This window comes from Homo sapiens, chromosome 1 (genome assembly GCF_000001405.40).
Source record: "Homo sapiens chromosome 1, GRCh38.p14 Primary Assembly".
Classification (NCBI taxonomy): domain Eukaryota; kingdom Metazoa; phylum Chordata; class Mammalia; order Primates; family Hominidae; genus Homo; species Homo sapiens.
The window spans coordinates 168,479,512-168,497,110 of NC_000001.11; the positions used below are offsets into that span (position 1 = coordinate 168,479,512).

Sequence of the window (17,599 nt, forward strand, 5' to 3'; positions counted from 1 at the left end):
AAACCAAAGAGCTTCTGCACAGCAAAACAAACTATCAACAGAGTGAACAGACAACCTTACAGAATGGGAGAAAATTTTTGCAATCTATCCATCTGACAAAGGTCAATATACAGAGTCTATAAGGAACTTAAGCAAATTTATGAGAGAAAAACAAACAATCCTATTAAAAAGTGGACAAAAGACATGAGCAGACACTTATCAAAAGAAGACATACATGCATCCAAGAAACATGAGAAAAAGCTCAACATCACTGATCATTAGAGAAATGCAAATCAAAACCTCAGTAAGATACCATCTCATGCCAGTCAGAAAGGCTGTTAATAAAAAGTCAAAAAACAACAGATGCCAGTGAGATTGTGGAGAAAAAGGAACACGTTTACACTGTTAGTGGGAGTGTAAATTAGGTCAACCACTGTGGAAGGCAGTGTGGCGATTCTTCAAAGACCTAGAGGAAGAAATACCATTTGACCCAGCAATCCCATTACAGGGGTATATACCCAAAGGAATATAAATCATTCTGTTATAAAGATACGTGCACGTATATGTTCATTGCAGCACTATTCACAATAGCAAAGACATGGAATCAACCCAAATGCTCATCAATGATACACTAAATAAAGAAAATGTGGTACATATACACCATGGAATGCTATGCAGTCATAAAAAGGAATGAGATCATGTCCTTTGCAGGGACATGGATGGAGTTGGAAGCCATTATCCTCAGCAAACTAATGCAGGAACCAAAATCCAAACACTGCATGTTCTCACTTATAAGTGGGAGCTGAATAATGAGAACACATGGACACATGGGTGGGAACTACACACTCTGGGGCCTGTCGGGGAGAGTGGGGGGAGGGAGAGCACCAGGAAGAATAACTAATGGATTCTGGGCTTAATACATAGGTGATGGGACATGGCACACGTTTACCTATGTAACAAACCTGCACATCCTGCGCATGTACCCCTGAGCTTAAAATAAAAGTTGAAGAAGAAACAAGCAAACCGCTAGTTGCAGAATTCTCAATATGGACTGGGCACTTCTGAGTGGGTAGTTTGGAATTTTCCTAAGTTGAATCCTAAAATGACCTCTGATCGATCAACATAATTAATGAGCTCCTTGCTGTGTGCCCAGCACTGCCAGTAGCTGCTTTAAGGGCCATAGATGTAAAATCACATTTCATGCTCTCATTGAGAAGGCAATCTAGCTGTGCTGACAATGCTGACTTCTGTGGAACAATAGTGGATATGACAAGCCAGAATATAACAAGATGTGGAGAAAGTGGTGTGCAAACTCTAAGACCTGCTGGACCAAAGAGCTGAATGAATGAGGAAAGGTGAGGCTGGGCTTTTCAAAGGCAAGATGTGAGAACTGTGTCCTAAGAAATGCATAGGATCTGGCTGGGGAAGCAGGAAATGGGGCATTTGGGGAGAGGAGATGGGGAGCAGCCTGTGGGGCAGCAGCAAAGCTGCCAAACTTCTGTTTTTCATGTACTCCATGTAAGTGTAGTTATCACAGTTTAAAAATATCTGAAGGACAGTGTCAGCAGCAATGGATTTCCACTAGATAGTTGGGTTACAGGATTAGAGCATGCAGGCTTACGCAGAGCCTGTTCCAATAGGTGACCTTGTCTGGGACTCCACATCAGCAGGGCTCATCCTGTCCTCTGTCCTGCTGTGCTCCGCTGTGGGGCCTGTTGCAGGCTGAGAATTGAAGGGGAAGAATCAAGTGCCAGGAGAGGGAGCTGGGGGAAGCCAGAGGCTGGCTCACCTGCAGAAGGGTGGGACACCTCCTAGCTGGAAGCTTGTCAAGCTTGGAGCTAAAGCTTAGTGTTGGCCACCTCTTGCTGAGAGGGAAAGGGAGGAAGTGAGAAGGGGGCACTTGTGTTCTCCCTGGGGCCTGGGATTGCTAATCTCTTTTAGGGAAGCAATGATTTGGGCTTCAGTGATAGTCTGACTCCAAACTATGGAGTTCTAAGGAAGCCAAAAGAGAAAAAGATTATCCCTGATTGAGGAGGAAGGACTCATGCTGCTCACACTCAAATAGCAACGTGAAATACAGTTTTCTTTAAACCACCCCTTAAGGAAATAACCACAAGGTTTAATATGACAGTTTTTGAGATAGTGAGAAAACTACAAACAAACTAAATGCTCAAGAATAGGGTCTTGATTAAATGAGTTATAGGGAGTTCCTATCAGGAGGTACAAAGCAAATATCAAAAGCGAGGCTGTAGAGCAGAAATCAGCGAACTGCGGCTCATGGGCCAATCTGGTGAGCTGCCTGATTTTTTTATGGCCCTTGAGCTAGGAATGATTTGACGTTTTAAATGGTTATCTAAGAGCTTACATAATAGCCTCAATTTTGCTTTGTAGCCTGCAAAACTTAAAACACTATGTAGCCCTTTAAGAAAAAGTTTGCTCACTATTGCTATAAAAGGAAATTTAATGAGATGCAAAATTTTTATTATTAATTAGGTGAGAATATAGTGTTAATTTGTGTCTAAGTTATCTGTTGCTGTGTAACTACCCTGGAATCTGGCATTTTAAGACACCTACCATTTTGCTTGCTCATTATTATGTGGGTCATGAATTTGGACAAAGCAGTGTAAGGATGTCTGGAGCCTTGGCCAGGATGATCTGAAGGATGAGGAGCTGGCTGGGATGGTTCTATGGGTAACACATGTGTAGGGATTTAATTGTCTCCATCTGTGACTGTATTCTTCTCCATGTGGTCTCTCCATGTGGCTAGCTTGGGCTTCCCTACTGCATGGCAGGCTGAGGGTAGATGGATTTCTTACATGGCAACTGGTTTCCCCAGTGCAAAAGCAGAAGCTGCCAGCCTCTTAAAGGCCAGGCATAGCTTCATTCTGCTGCATTTCACTGAATGTCCTAAAGAATTTCAAAGGTCACAAGGTCAGCCCAGATTCAAAAGAGGTGGAGAGATAAGCCTCCTCCTTTTTATGGGAGGAGCAACATATGTGCACAGAAGGCTGTGGGTGGAGCAATGTGGAGCTGTCTTTAGAGACCACCACTGTGGATAGTAAATATACACAGAAATGTACCTACATTCCACAATTTTAAGGGGATACAAAAATATAAAGGAATGGCCCTACCTATTCTATAAATTTGTGGTAGACATCTGTCATATTTACGCTTACCCGTCATCTTTGAATAACATTTTTAGATTTGAGTAAGTGAACCAATGTCTCACCTCCTTGCAGCTAGGATGCAAACATGTGAATATAATATTTTCAACAAAACAGAACAAAAAAAGTGTTAAGAAATCTTGAGCTTTGGAGCCAGACCATCTTAATTCAAATTTCAACTTTGCCACTGATTGTTCATGTGATCTCAGACTAGTTACATAATTTTATGTGCCTCAGTTCCTTCAGCTATAAAAAGGGATATTCATAGTACCAACCTTTTAGGGTTGTTTTGAGGCTTAAATGAGTTAATGTTTCAAAGAGCTTAGGATAGGCCTAGGCTCTGCCAATCAGACATAAACATGAAACTTTAATTCAAATATGAGACAGCAACTGACTCTGGATCTGTAAAGACATCCAACTTTTACCCTAGTCACAAGATCAAAATGGAATTGGTACTGGTGGGAGGAGTGGCTACAGAATAGTCTAGTTCCAGGGATTTATATGTTGTTTCCCCATTGAATTAGTTCTGTGTGATTTTGGGCATTATTCCTGAAAGCTTCAGTTCTAATCTGTTTTTCCAGCTAGTTCAATAATTCTGAGGGCAAATGTGTCTTTTAAAAACCTCCCCACCATCATTTTCCCTCTAAACTATATAGAGTGGATACAGTGGATTCTGTTGTTCCCAATTAAGAAGTGTGGCTGATATAAATGTGGTATGGTTTCAGGGATGCAAAGAAAGGCCTTTTGGACAATTTTTTATGTCTGGAATTGTAGCATCTGGGAATTTTCTCTAATGCTTTTATGTTGATATGCAAACCCTGGAAGGAAGGTGTCATATACAGAGTTTTTAATTATTTTTGTGTAAAGTGCTTTATTTGGAGCTGGAGTGGGGGCACACTAATTTGGATTCCTGTCTAAGCAGCTTGAGTCTGGAATGAGAAGTGAGATCTGTTCTGATTAATTTTTCTCCTTCCTTGTTCTCCAGAGTTGGGCAACATTACATTGTTTTGTCATCTCACATTTCCAAGGTTGCCTGATAATAACCAGAACTTGTTTTTGCCTTAAAATGTTTCACATTCTTTCCCCTGGGTGACACATAAGATTTACATAATTTCCATATTTGTCTGATTCACTTAGGCTAAATCATTCAGTAGATCCAAGAAATACCTTTGATGTCATGATTTGGAGCATACCCACATCCATCTGAAAAATGTTCAGTGGTCATTGGCAGGTACTGTCAAAAGATGCCAAGAACCTCGTGGAAGAAAATGTAAACATTTCTATACTAGAAGTGAAGCAAGAGCGGCAGCTAGGTTCACTTGAATATGTGTGTAATAGTTGTCATGAGAGGAGGGGTTGAAACTTAAAGAGGATTGTAAAAAATTTAAATGGAAGAGAAAATTTCTGGGTGGGTGGGGAGGGATTGCATAAATTGAGTGCACACCTTTAACCTATTGCAGGGACACCTTGCCAATACTCATAATGCTGCAAGAATCATGATAACAATGTTATTTCTTAAGATTCCATGAGGCAAACTACTATCATCTCTATATTACTCCATGGACACTCAGAATGGGTTATGGTGCCAGTCATTATGACCACTTTCAGGCAGATGAGTCCATCAGGCCTTCTTAGAGTGTTTGCTCTCTGCAAGATGGTGTTACCCCTGTGGATGGGGACAGAGAGACACATGGGCTAGGTAGACATGGTGAGGCACTCAGGCAACCCAGCATATCAGAGAATGGTGTTGGCTAAAGTATGGATGGGGGCAATAGAAATGGGTTGAGGGAGGGCAAAACAAAACACCACAGGTGATGAGAAGGGCCACTAAAAATAACATAAGAGCTTGTTGGAAACAGATTTCACACATGTATTTTACATTTTACTAAGAGGACACCTCTGCTTAAATGTTACAGAGGTCTGTGGCTTTTCTGTTTTTTTTGTTTGTTTGTTTGAATAGAGTATTTCTATGAAACTCTGCTTAAAAATGAGAAGCGCTGGGACCTAGAAATCAGAAGATTACACCTGGGTTCTTAGATTCATTTTTATGATCGGTGTGTCTTCAAGCCTGTTGGTTTACTTGGTTATGTCAAAAAGGTAACATCTGTAAAATGAGAAAGTAACATTCATGTTACTGTTGGTGGATATTTGATTATGAATTATAGACGAGATGATATTAGATAATTATTAATTTTTTAGGTATAATAAGGGAAAATGACATGTTGCTTGCAATTTACTAAGATACTTCAGTTTTTAAAAAAGACAGATGAATAGTGATTTGTTCATATTGTAAGTTTCAGGAGATGAATAACACCATTCTATCTACTTTTCTATCGGTTGGAAATTTTTCTTAATTAAAAGTTAGAAAAGAATACTCATCTTACTTATCTCACAGGATTGTTGTAAGTACCAAACAAGAAAATGGATGGAAAATGTTGTATAAACGGAAAAGCACTAAACAAATATGAGTAGTAGTTTTTTAAATTGTTCTTAAGAATAATACAAAAGATTACTGAGGCTTGAGTAGGCGGTTTTCCCCTCCCAGTGTTAAGGAAGCTGCCAGGAAGTTTGTACTGGGTGGAACTCACCGCAGTGCAGCAAAGCTATGGCCAGACTGCTTCTCTAGATTCCTCCTCACTGGGCAGGGCATCTCTGAAAGAAAGGCAGCAGCCCCAGTCAGGGCCTTGTAGATAAAACTCCCATCTCCCTGGGACAGTGTACCTGGGTTGGTGGGGTGGGGGTGGTGGGGGGCGGCGTGGGGGGGAGCTGTGGGCACAGCTTCAGCAGACTTGAAAGTTCCTGTCTGCTGGCTCTGAAGAGAGCAGTGGATCTCCCAGCACAGCATTCAAGCTCTGCTAAGGGACAGACTGCCTCCTAAAGTGGATCTCTGATCCCCATGCCTCCTGATTGGGAGATACCTCGTACAGGAGAGCTCTGGCTGGCATCAGGCGGGTGCCCCTTTGGGATGAAGCTTCCAGAGGAAGGAGCAGGCAGCAATCTTTGCTGCTCTGCAGCCTCTGCCGGTGATACCCAGGCAAACAGGGTCTGGAGTGGACCTCCAGCAAACTCCAGCAGACCTGAAGAAGAAGGGCCTGACTGTTAGAAGAAAAACTAAGAAACAAAAGCAATAACACCAACATCAACAAAAATGATGCCCACACAAAAACCCTATCTTTTCTTCACAGAATTAGAAAAAAACTACTTTAAATTTCATATGGAACCAAAAAGAGAGCCCTTATAGCCAAGACAATCCTTATCCAAAAAAAATAAATAAATAAAAAAGAAAGCTGGAGTCATCAAGCTACCTGATTTCAAACTATACTACAAGGCAAGAGTAACCAAAACAGCATGATACTGGTACCAAAACAGAGATATAGACCAATGGAACAGAACTGTGGCCTCAGAAATAAAACCACACATCTACAACCATCTGATCTTCGACAAACCTGACAAAAACAATCAATGGGGAAAGGATTCCCTGTTTAATAAATGGTACTGGGAAAACTGGCTAGCCACATGCAGAAAGCAGAAATTGGACCCCTTCCTTACACCTTATACAAAAATTAACTCACGATAGGTTAAAGACTTAAATGTAAAACGCCATAAAAACCCTAGAAGGAAACCTATGCCATACCATTCAGGACATAGGCGTGGGCAAAGACTTCATGACTAAAAGGCCAAAAGCAATTACAGCAAAAGCCAAAATTGACAAATGGGATCTAATTCAACCATAGAGCTTTTGCACAGCAAAACAAACTGTCATTAGAGTGAACAGGCAACCTGCAGAATGGGAGAAAATTTTTGCAATCTATCCATCTGACAAAGGGCTAAGATCCAGGATCTGCAAGGAACTTAAACAAATTTACAAGAAAAAAACAACCCTATCCAAAAGTGGGCAAAGATATGAACAGACACTTCTCAAAAAAAGACATTTATGTGGCCAAAAAACATATGAAGAAAAGCTCATCATCACTGGTCATTAGAGAAATGCAAATCAAAACCACAGTGAGATATCATCTCAAGCCAGTTAGAATGGGGATCATTAAAAAGTCAGGAAACAACAGATGCTGGAGAGGATGTGGATAAATAAGAACACTTTTACACAGTTGGTGGGAGTGTAAATTAGCTTAACCATTGTGGAAGACAGTGTGGCAATTCCTCAACGGTCTAGAACCAGAAATTCCATTTGACCCAGCAATCCCATTACTGGGTTTATACCCAAAAGACTATAAATTATTCTACTATAAAGGCACATGCACATGTGTGTGTATTGCAGCACTATTTACAATAGTAAAGACTTGGAACCAACCCAAATGCCCATCAATGATAGACAGGATAAGGAAAATGTGGCACATATACACCATGGAATAGTATGCAGCCATAAAAAAGAATGAGTTCATGTCCTTTGCAGGGACATGGATGAAGCTGGAAACCATCATTCTCAGCAAACTAACACAGGAACAGAAAACCAAACACCACATATTCTCACTCGTAAGTGGGAGTTGAACAATGAGAACACATGAACACAGGGTGGGGAACATCACACACCAGGGCCTGTTAGGGGGTGGGGAGCTAGGGGAGGGAGAACATTAGGAGAAATACCTAATGCATGCGGGGCTTAAAACCTAGATGATGGGTTGATAGATGCAGCAAACCACCATGGCACGTGTATACCTATGTAACAAAGCTGCACATTCTGCACATGTATTCCAGAACTTAAAGTGTAGTAAAAGAAGAAAAAAAAAAAAGAATAATACTAAGATTATCCCACTTTGCTCTTATCTAGGTGGATACTCTCAGTTTCTCTTCTTCTACTTTTAATACCTGGGTAATAAGAACAAAGAGGACCTATTCCAGACAGTTCAAGGGGAGGTTTTCTCCTAATGGTTTCTTACATTGTGCAGAATGGAGGCAACAAAGTCTACAGAGAATACTGGGGAAAACAGAGCGCTGGACTTCAGTCCTCTCTGTATATAGGGAATGGTCTCTAGATGCTCATGGTTTCAACGAATTTTAGTATACCACAGTACTCATTTCTACTCTCTAGCTCCCTGACTTCCAGAGAGAGCTACATGCTTGATTTCTAATAATGCTTTCAGTATAAGAGAGAAGAAAATAATGCAGGGTTAATTGCTGAGGTATTCTGGGATCACCTTTCAGTCATATATCTGGCATTTGCCCTAGAACCTTAAATCCTTGTGGAGAGAGAGTTTTTGGATAAACTGTACTAGCACAATGTCTATAGAAACATTTGTTCTCTTCTTGCATCTTCCTAAACTCTAAGGGTTATTCCTAAGAGTGGAATATAGCTACATTTTCTCCCTCATATTTTAATGAAAATATATTAATGATTAACCTGCTATACTTTGCTATTTTATTCACTTTTTATGTACAGTAGATTCAGGTTTTCCTAAGGGGTTGGAAGCACTCTGCTTGGTAAGAAAATATACTTTATATTTAGCTGTTTGCATATTAATGCTGCTGTACCAGCTCTTGTAGGGCTAATGCATTGGTGACACCAAATATTAAATTGCTTGTTCTCTTGTAGTTTGAATACAATGATGAATTGGAGAGCACAGATGTCCAGGCTGGCTGGAAGCCAGACCTCTCTTTCCTTCCAAACCACTAACACAGTGGAACCTTGGGTAACCTCGAAAAAGTCACTTTCCTTCTGCTACTTTCTCTACCTTTGTGAAATTAGGGCAATGATGTGTTCAACCCATTTCTTTCCTTAGGGGATATGAGTAAGGAAGAGGATGTTCATCAAGTACCCTGGCTACTTTAGAGGAGATGTTCTATTGAAGGCAGTAATAGGAAATCTTATAAATCATGAGACCTCTTGGGGGTGTGTTGCCTGGATACAAAATATTCATACTATTATTTTCTCTTTTGCAAATTATATCTATTGCACAATTGGGATTAAATTGGATGGGCATTTTTTTCATCCTCAGAAGTTATGTTGTTGTTTTGTTTTAAGAACCAAAAAGAATCCTCACTAAGTGATATAACGATAAGATTGACAAAATATATGAAATTCTTCTAGTGGCTTGGAGAGAAATATTTTACTAAAAAAAAAGCCCAGAGAAGCTATTCAGTTGATCATTCCTAGTAGAAAATCACTGTAAATAATTAAACATCAGGCACCCTTCTCAATGATTTCCACAGCCCTCTTATTAGGATAGAAACCTAAAATCATTATGAGAAAACCTCCAGACCCTTGTCACCAAAATGGAGTTCATTTCACAGCAAAAACTGACGTCTTAACATGAAAGAAAGCATAACCCTTGGTAACCTAGAATACTTCTTTTTTTTTTTTTTTTTTTTTTTGAGATGGAGTCTTGCTCTGTCGCCCAGGCTGGAGTGCAGTGGCGCGATCTCGGCTCCCTACAAGCTCTGCCTCCCGCGTTCACGCCATTCTCCTGCCTCAGCCTCCTCAGTAGCTGGGACTACAGGTGCCCGCCACCACTCCCGGCTAATTTTTTTTTTTTTTTGTATTTTTAGTAGAGACGAGGTTTCACCGTGTTAGCCAGGATGGTGTCGATCTCCTGACCTCGTGATCCGCCCGCCTCAGCCTCCCAAAGTGCTGGGATTACAGGCGTGAGCCACCACACCCAGCCTCTAGAATACTTCTATGTTTGGTTTCTGAGAAGAAGGGGCAAAAGAACAAATTGATATCCCATATTTATTTTGAGGAGACATTTCTAGGGCAAGTTCTTTAACTGTGGAAGACTAATTCTTCTTATTATTAGTCCTCCTCAATAGTCTTCAAAAGTCCTCTTGTAATTCTGTAGGATGAAGCTATTTGGCATGATAGTCCTGAACCACTACGAAGTCACAGAATCAAGAAGATTAGGGCTTCAAGGAACCTTAGAGACTACTAGACAAACCACTCTCCTTCACAGAAGAGGAAACCAGGGCCCACAGGAGGCCCTCATTGAAATGTATTTGATAGGCTGGGTGCAGTGGCTCACACCTGTAATCCAAGGACTTTGGAGGCTGAGGCAGGAGGATCACTTGAGGCCAAGAGTTCGAGACTAGCCTGGGCAACATAATGAGACCTTATATCTACAAAAAATTATCAAATTGGCTGGGTGTGGTAGCACACACCTGTAGTACTAGCTACTTGGGAGGCTGAGGTGGGAAGATCATTCGAGCCCAGGAGTTTGAGGCTGCAGTGGGCTAGAATTGTGCCTTGAACTTCAGCCTGGGGTCTAGGTGACAGAGCAAGAACCTGTCTCTAATATATATATATGTTGTCATGTGCAAAGTGTTTATTCATTAGTTCAACAAATATTCATAACACACCTGCTGTGTGTCAAGCAAACATTTATTGATTACCTCCTCTTTGACAGGTTCTTCAAAATACAATGGCGATGGATAATAATCCTCAAACAGAATAGGGTTTAATAGGAGAGGCCTCCTGCAAGCATATAATTACAGTGCAATAAAACATGTATGAAGGCAATGGGACGTAGAGAAATCCACTATTTCAAGAAATACCATAGAATAGCATTTCTTACAGTTTACCCTACAAACTACAATAATCTATAATATGAGGGGTATTGAGGAAACAATATTCTTGGCTATATAAGGTCAGGAAATGTTGAATACTTTTTTTGCTGGAGATGCACAGTGCCCATTAATGTATTAGAGAAGCATGTTAAAGAAGTTCTGCAATTTAAACATGCTTCTCAAATTTATTTGAGCATGGAAAATATCCCTCAACTCAACATTCTTTCCTGTCCCTCTTTCTCCTTTTCTTTCTCTTTCTGGTCCTCATCCTCTTTCTATTCTGGCAGAACATTTGTCTATATCTCTGCTCATGTTACATAGCAGAGAAGTTTTAAAAAGTGTTTTGGCCATCTCTCAGTTCATCAGAGAGCTCCATTAGCTAAGAGGTCATACTCTCAAAAGATTCAGCTAATGGAAGTTTACTGTAGTTCCAAGACATTGCTGGAATAAATGTCCCAATAGTAATAAATTAACATCCCCTCATCACATATGTAGAATGTTGAAGCAATAATGAATATAATTTGGGAAATTTGATTATTAACCAGAAGTGAAATAATTTGAAATGGAATATAACAAACAATTGCTTCTTGCTCTGCTACAATTAATCTAATATGCCTGAGATGAGAGATAATTCAGAAGGTATAAGATTTCAGAGCAAACACCTATTTGAAGAAATGCTATTAGCCACCAATAAATGCAGACTGGACCACATGTGTTAAAATACATCGGTTCTCTATTGCCAAACCTTTCTGACTGAAAGCAAACGTTTTTACAGTCATCTATTATACAAAGCCCTGAGTTATCTCCCCACACCTCCCCTCCCCACTCCCGCCGACCCTCGTGGTACTTCTCTGATTTTATGTTACTCTGTTCCCCACCTCACCCTGGAGTAGATTCCTCAAGCACAAGGTTATACACCCACCTCAAAGCTTTTTATCTGACTTTTTACTGTACCTGGAATCTTTACTGTACCTGGAAATCTTTTCTCCAGATATCTCCGTGGCTATACCCTGACCTTCTTCAAGTTTTTGCTCAAATATCACCTTTTCAGTGTCCACTCTATTTAATATCACGACTTCCCTCGACACCCAACGCTCCCCGCACTGCCCACATCCCTTTTCAACTTAGAACATAATGCACAATTTTCTTATAGGTTTATTTCCTATTATCTGTTTCTCCCTACTAGAATATAAGCTCTGGGAGGGTAAGAGTTTGTGTTTTCATTTACTATATATCCCTTATGCCAAGAACAGTGCCCTGATCATGGCATGTGCTCAATTAATAACTGTTGAATGAAGGAAGGAAAGACTGCTAAATTTTTACATTTTAATTGATGCTTTCTGCAGCACAGCACCACTGGGATTTGCAAAACAGGAGTTCAGGGCAGTCCATGTAATGTTTTTTCAGACTTGAAGATTATGCTGTGTTTATAATTTTAACAATTTTTAAGATAGTCTTTTAGTTTTTCCTTTTCTTTTTGGTTTGAAGGGTCATTGTATTGTCATGCTTTCCTCTGATTCCAGCTCTACACTTTATTTACAGTTCAGCTTTCTGGACCTCTCTTGTTTTTCACAAGAGTGAAAGTTTCTGGTGTGGCTGCCTGGTCATTTTTATAAAGCCTATGATTACTCTGATGTGTATATTAATCTCTCCAGCAATGCCCAGCAGTTTGGTGGAACTTTGTCCTCAGTTGCTTGAACTTAAAAAATGTCTAGAATCTGTTTGCCTAAGCTGTAGAGGCCTTTTTTGGATTGGACCTATTAATCTGTCAATACAGTTTGATTTATGTTCCTATTGCCTGTTTTTCTGCTTCTTTACATAGACAGAAAAGAATGCTCTGCAGTTTCTGTTGACTGATTTGACATTTTGCAATGAGGAGTACTTAGTGTTACTTGCTACTAGGAAATTTCATCGTGTACTCCCTCTTAGCATGTATAAAAAGTTTAACTAGCATGTTCCCTACATTCCCTGGCACAGATCTCCCAAAGATAAGCACTTTGCAGTTCTGCCACCTCAGAAACATTTGTCTATCCCTAGTATTTGCCTCCCATTTCCAAGGCTAGTTCCTTACACATGGCCTCCTATCCTGTATCCATTTGTTAAAAATATCTTTAGTGGTACAATTTTGAAAGTCATTGAGGCTTTAAATCAAGTGGCTTTGTAGGCTCTACTTAATTCTTATAACTATCCTTTCAAATAGCTTTTGTAGAATTTAAGCATGAAATAATAATAATAATAATGATAGGTAATTCATATATTTGAGTAGCCCTTTACAGTTTATAATGCTTAGTGGAAAGGGCATGAACATTGCAGACAGCCAAACCTGAATTGAAAACTCACTTGAACATTTATTAGCTTTGTAATGCTGAGCACCTTACCTCCCTCATCTTTCTAAGGGTGGCAGGAACACCTTGCAGGCTTACGGTATTGTTGGATGGGGGAATGGTGCTTGTACAGGGCCTAGTGTGTGCCTGATGCAGAGCGCTGGTTGGGTGCTCAGTTCAAGAGTGCTCCTCTATTTCTCCGCTCTTATACAGACTCTCTTGTTGTGACCTCCTGTTACCGCTACACCTGTTCTAGGTACTAGGATTTCTTATGAAAAAGAAAATCCTTACCCTGATGGAGCTTACCTTTTAGAAGTGGAGGCGGAAAATAAGAACAGAGAAAAACACACAAATATGTAATACTAGATAGTGATACGTGTTAAGGAGAGAAATAGGGTAGGGTGAGGGGGTAAGGATTAGGAAGAGGATGAGACGTGGGCAAGGGAGGCTAGTTTAGACAGTGGACCAGAGAATGTCCCGGAGTGAGTAGGAGAAAAAGTAGATGTGAATCTATGTATCTTGACTTTAATGGATTGTTTTCATTTAAGAGTTTGATAAAGCTGCCCTCACATTTTCTCCAGCTTGCCAGATGTGGAAGGAAGACACACTGGCCTCAAGTTTCCAGGTTCTTGTTTGGAGTTCTTAGGTGCAGAAGATACCTCAGTTGTCAGTTCTGAGTCACAGTGGCCATTTGCAAGGGCAGCAGTTCTTGATTTTTACTACCCAAATAATCCTATAGTTTTTGCCTCCAAAATCTCATTAGAGATGAGAACCTGTGTCTTATTTATATCTCTATCACCAACACTAAGATGCCATCATCTGTCCTATGGACCACTGCAAAAGCCTCCAACCTGGTCTGTGTGTATCAATTATCACCCCCTTCAATGTATCTTGAAGTTTGTCTGCAGCATCATTCTGGTGCTCAACCTTCTCGGAGAGAGTGCTCAGAGGAAGCAGCAGCAGGAATCACCAAGACCTATTTGCTGGCTTTGAGGGTCTGAGGGGCCATTGCTGGGGTAGCTTCAAGAGCCTGGCATCCCGATTCCTGAATCGCAGCCATTGGGATGAGTTCCTGAATGCAGCATTTCCATGGCCTAAAGGTCACAGTCACCCTAGAGAATCTGTTCAGTACCCTGAGAGTCATTTGTGGAACACCAGTGCACATGGTGCCCCTCCAGTCAGTCCAGTGACTATGCAAACCTTTCATTATATTCCGTCTTCTTGAATACCTAGAGTGCTTGCTATTTTCTTCATGGAATACTGACTGATGCTACTTGTTCTCTTCCATTTCAGTGCCTGGATATCCCTTTAAGGAAGGCTTGCTCTACCTTTTTCTCCTTTTAAAAAACAAAAACCAAACAACGATAACAACACTATTTTTGGGCTTAAATCACATGATTTAAGACCTCAAACTCACCACAATGGAGGAACCATATACTTGTATGCCTCTTTTCTATTTAACCCGACGGATTTCCAGATTCACTCTCCAAACACACCTTTTTTTATTATCCTCATTCATCTTTCAAATTCCCAGTTATTTCTATTATGTGCTTACCAATAAAGACTATTGTGAAATGAAGGATGAAGGGTCTTTGGAGAGATGAGGACTTGTTCTCCTTAATATTCTTCCATTCCTTTGACAACGAAATTATCCTGAAAATGAACTGTCATTATGATACCTGTGGAAGCAGAAAAGTCTAAAACAACACTCAAGATGGCTGTTTGGGAGAATATTCTTGATAAGCTATGCTAGAATATAGGTCAGATCAGCTATATAAATATCTAAGACAATGCTTTCAGGCACTAAATGCTACTCATAAAAAATTAAGTGGAATTTAGAGTGGTTTTAAAATTTATTACAAATGACAAATTGAAAAATAAGCCAAATGGGAATATAGATTTTATTTCTATATTTAGTGTAGGAAAGTCATAGGAATCCCTTGGCCAGTGATTGTGGAAAATTTAGTTTTGGAGCTGTAAGTGTTGAAATTCCCATGGTATTAAATTATTTTGATGAGTTCAAAAATATCCTAAATAATTAAAGGAAACATGTTATTAACTGTTTTTAACACTACTAGAGTAGGTGGTTTCAGATAATTTTTATGCTAATGGTTTTCTCTCCTAGATCTAATTTAATGGTCTGGAATGTTCTCCATTTGACCACCTGTCTCGATGGAATGAAGTCAACTAGTTTGCCTACTCCTGCTTTTTATCTTCCAGTGTAGATATGAAGAATAAGAAGAAGAGATTTTAAAATGTAGTGATGATTATACTAATATATTTAAGTGTATCTCCAAGTATTTTTAAGTATGTCTTTGGCTAAAAATGAGAACTTGTATTTTTAATTCAATGAAGGGGTCTATACTAATTAGAAAACCATTTTTTGGTGGGGAGAAAAGAGCAGTTATTACACATTTGCGCAATTTGTTATCTTCTAAATAAATTCATAATCTTATGTAGCATTCATACATTATTAATAAATTTCAGGACTTTTCAGCAGGAGTCATAAATTTTTAAAACTTATTGCATAATTTAAAAAATTAGGAGGGGAAACAAAATTTGGAATAGTGACATATTTTAAGAGAAAAATATATTCTCAAACTCTTGTTATGCTGATAACAATTTGCTAATTGCAAATCATCTCTATTTATTAAAGCAATTTCTCTAAGGACTAATAGATTACATGTTTTCAACCTCATATATTATTTTAGGTGTATGTGAAAATAGTGAAACTGTATTTCTTTAACAACATATTTTTTCTTTTTCTTTTTTTTTTTTTTGGGACAGAGTCTCACTCTGTCGCCCAGGCTGGAGTGCAGTGGCATGATTTTGGCTCACTGCAACCTCCGCCTCCTGGGTTCACGCCATTCTCCTGCCTCAGCCTCCTGAGTAGCTGGGACTACAGGTGCCCGCTCCCACGCCTGGCTAATTTTTGGTTATTTTTAGTAGAGTCAGGGTTTCACCGTGTTAGCCAGGATGGTCTCGATCTCCTGACCTCGTGATCCGCCCGCCTCAGCCTCCCAAAGTGCTGGGATTACAGGTGTGAGCCACCGCGCCTGGCCAACAACATATTTTTTCATTCAGACTTTTTACTTACCAGGTGGATCTTCTCCTGGTTTAGTGCATTCTGGAGATTAGATTATGGAGACTATTTCTGTTCATGAAAGTCACACTCTAAATCACTTAAGTTTCTGTGGTTTCCAGAAGAAGTTAAACATTTACGGGAAAAAGTCAACATCCTCGATAGCTCCAGTGTACTTTGGCATTTCCGTGGACATGGGAAAGAGAAACATGGTTCATAGCTCTCTCTGGCTTCTGCATAATGTTACACCAAATACCATATGCTCTGTCGGTGACAATTTTCTTCACTCATTGTGTCTTTTAACTCCAAATGTTCACATTTTAATAATTTGCTTGAGAAGAATGAAAAGTGACACACATATTACCTTTAAAAATCTATATTCCTTTTGGATATATCTTTTTGAAAACAGAATTCATATTTAGTGCTTTGGGTAAGGCAAAATTAAATTCAACCTTTTAGTTTATGTTCCTGAGAAAGGTAGTTTCAGAGGCATCAGAGAAACAATGAGTTCAGATTACATCATTTATTTAACATTTCCAAGTGATATGTTTTCAATTAAAGTTTTATCGGCCATGTATTGAATATAAATTCTTCTTTCTATTCAATATCTATTATAAAAGAATATGATTTCACCATGGTGTATGCCTATGTATTCAATTAAGAAAATTGCTTAGCTTAACTTCCTAAATTTTCCAATCAGAAAAGTTTTCCAACATTGAAATTAGCCTGCATCTCTGGGAAAAGGTAAGTGCCTTATGGCTATAGACACCAGACAGGTGCTGGAGGGCCGTCTCCTAAAGACACTGACAACGTTCCTTTTAGAGAGAAAGACTGAACTGGCAAGGGAGTATTGTCAGCAGCCATAAGGTTTTATATCCAGCTGCTGTGACTTGATACTGCTGATATAACTAAATCTGGAGAACATTTCTTTTAGTCTCTCCCTTTCAGGCAAGGGTTTTTGTCAGAAATACTATTCCCTGTTAGAGCAAGGACACTCTGTTGAGATGGGGGTTAGACATCTAGGTACTGTTCCTGTTCATCTACTAACTAGCTACACAATTGTGAGCACATTGCTTCTTTATCTGTTTCTCTAAGTCCTTCTTCATCAAAATAATTTGAATTTCCATTTTGCTGGGGTGAAACAGTAATTCCTAATATGGTGCTTCCCTTCCCCACATCCACTGGTTGTCTCAGAGCCTGCTCCCAAGACACATGTTGTCTTCAACTAACCTTGCTTAGGTTTGCAGGCAGGTAATTAGACAAGAGCGTCTTGGCATTTCATCTTCATCATGTCTATCTGTTTCACTAGAAGAATACAGTATTGAAGATTCTGTGTTATTGAAGTTTGGCGGGCATAATATTAATTGCATTATCTGATATATAATACAATTTTTCAAACACATAAATATTTTTTGAATACTTACAATGGGCAGTTAGCTAGATACCCAGTGCATGGGCTAGGGTTATTATATTAAAATAAAGGATTCAGGTCTTATTTCAAACTGCTTACAGTCTACTTGGAGATACAAGTCCTACAG

The 17,599-nt window shown here is 39.5% G+C and overlaps 2 long non-coding RNA genes across 10 annotated transcripts in view, besides 1 other annotated feature; both read right to left on the reverse strand.

Annotated features, from left to right (window-relative positions):
- Positions 1-16,129, reverse strand: part of LOC125312414 (uncharacterized) — a 95,450-nt gene extending 79,321 nt beyond the window's left edge. For 2 of the 7 annotated variants that reach the window (NR_176084.1, NR_176086.1), the window contains exons 1-4: positions 16,077-16,129; positions 14,535-14,613; positions 6,062-6,220; positions 5,732-5,795 (exon numbers count right to left, since the gene is read on the reverse strand). This is a non-coding gene — a long non-coding RNA (uncharacterized LOC125312414). Of the gene's footprint in view, positions 1-5,731; positions 5,796-6,061; positions 6,221-14,534; positions 14,633-16,076 lie in introns of all 7 variants that reach the window. The other 5 variants (NR_176085.1, NR_176090.1, NR_176087.1 and 2 more) reach the window with 4 other exon arrangements.
- LOC101928565 (uncharacterized) overlaps positions 1-16,129 on the reverse strand; it is a 31,527-nt gene extending 15,398 nt beyond the window's left edge. The window contains exons 1-4 of one of the 3 annotated variants that reach the window (NR_125956.2): positions 16,077-16,129; positions 14,535-14,613; positions 6,062-6,220; positions 5,732-5,795 (exon numbers count right to left, since the gene is read on the reverse strand). This is a non-coding gene — a long non-coding RNA (uncharacterized LOC101928565). Of the gene's footprint in view, positions 1-5,731; positions 5,796-6,061; positions 6,221-14,534; positions 14,677-16,076 lie in introns of all 3 variants that reach the window. The other 2 variants (NR_176057.1, NR_176056.1) reach the window with 2 other exon arrangements.
- Positions 2,786-2,986: a silencer, noted in NCBI's record as "peak444 fragment used in MPRA reporter construct". NCBI's record gives its function as "represses an SCP1 promoter by STARR-seq MPRAs in K562 erythroleukemia cells {active_cell/tissue: K562}" and the evidence as "EXISTENCE:reporter gene assay evidence [ECO:0000049][PMID:32103011]".
- Positions 16,130-17,599: the final 1,470 nt, after the last annotated feature.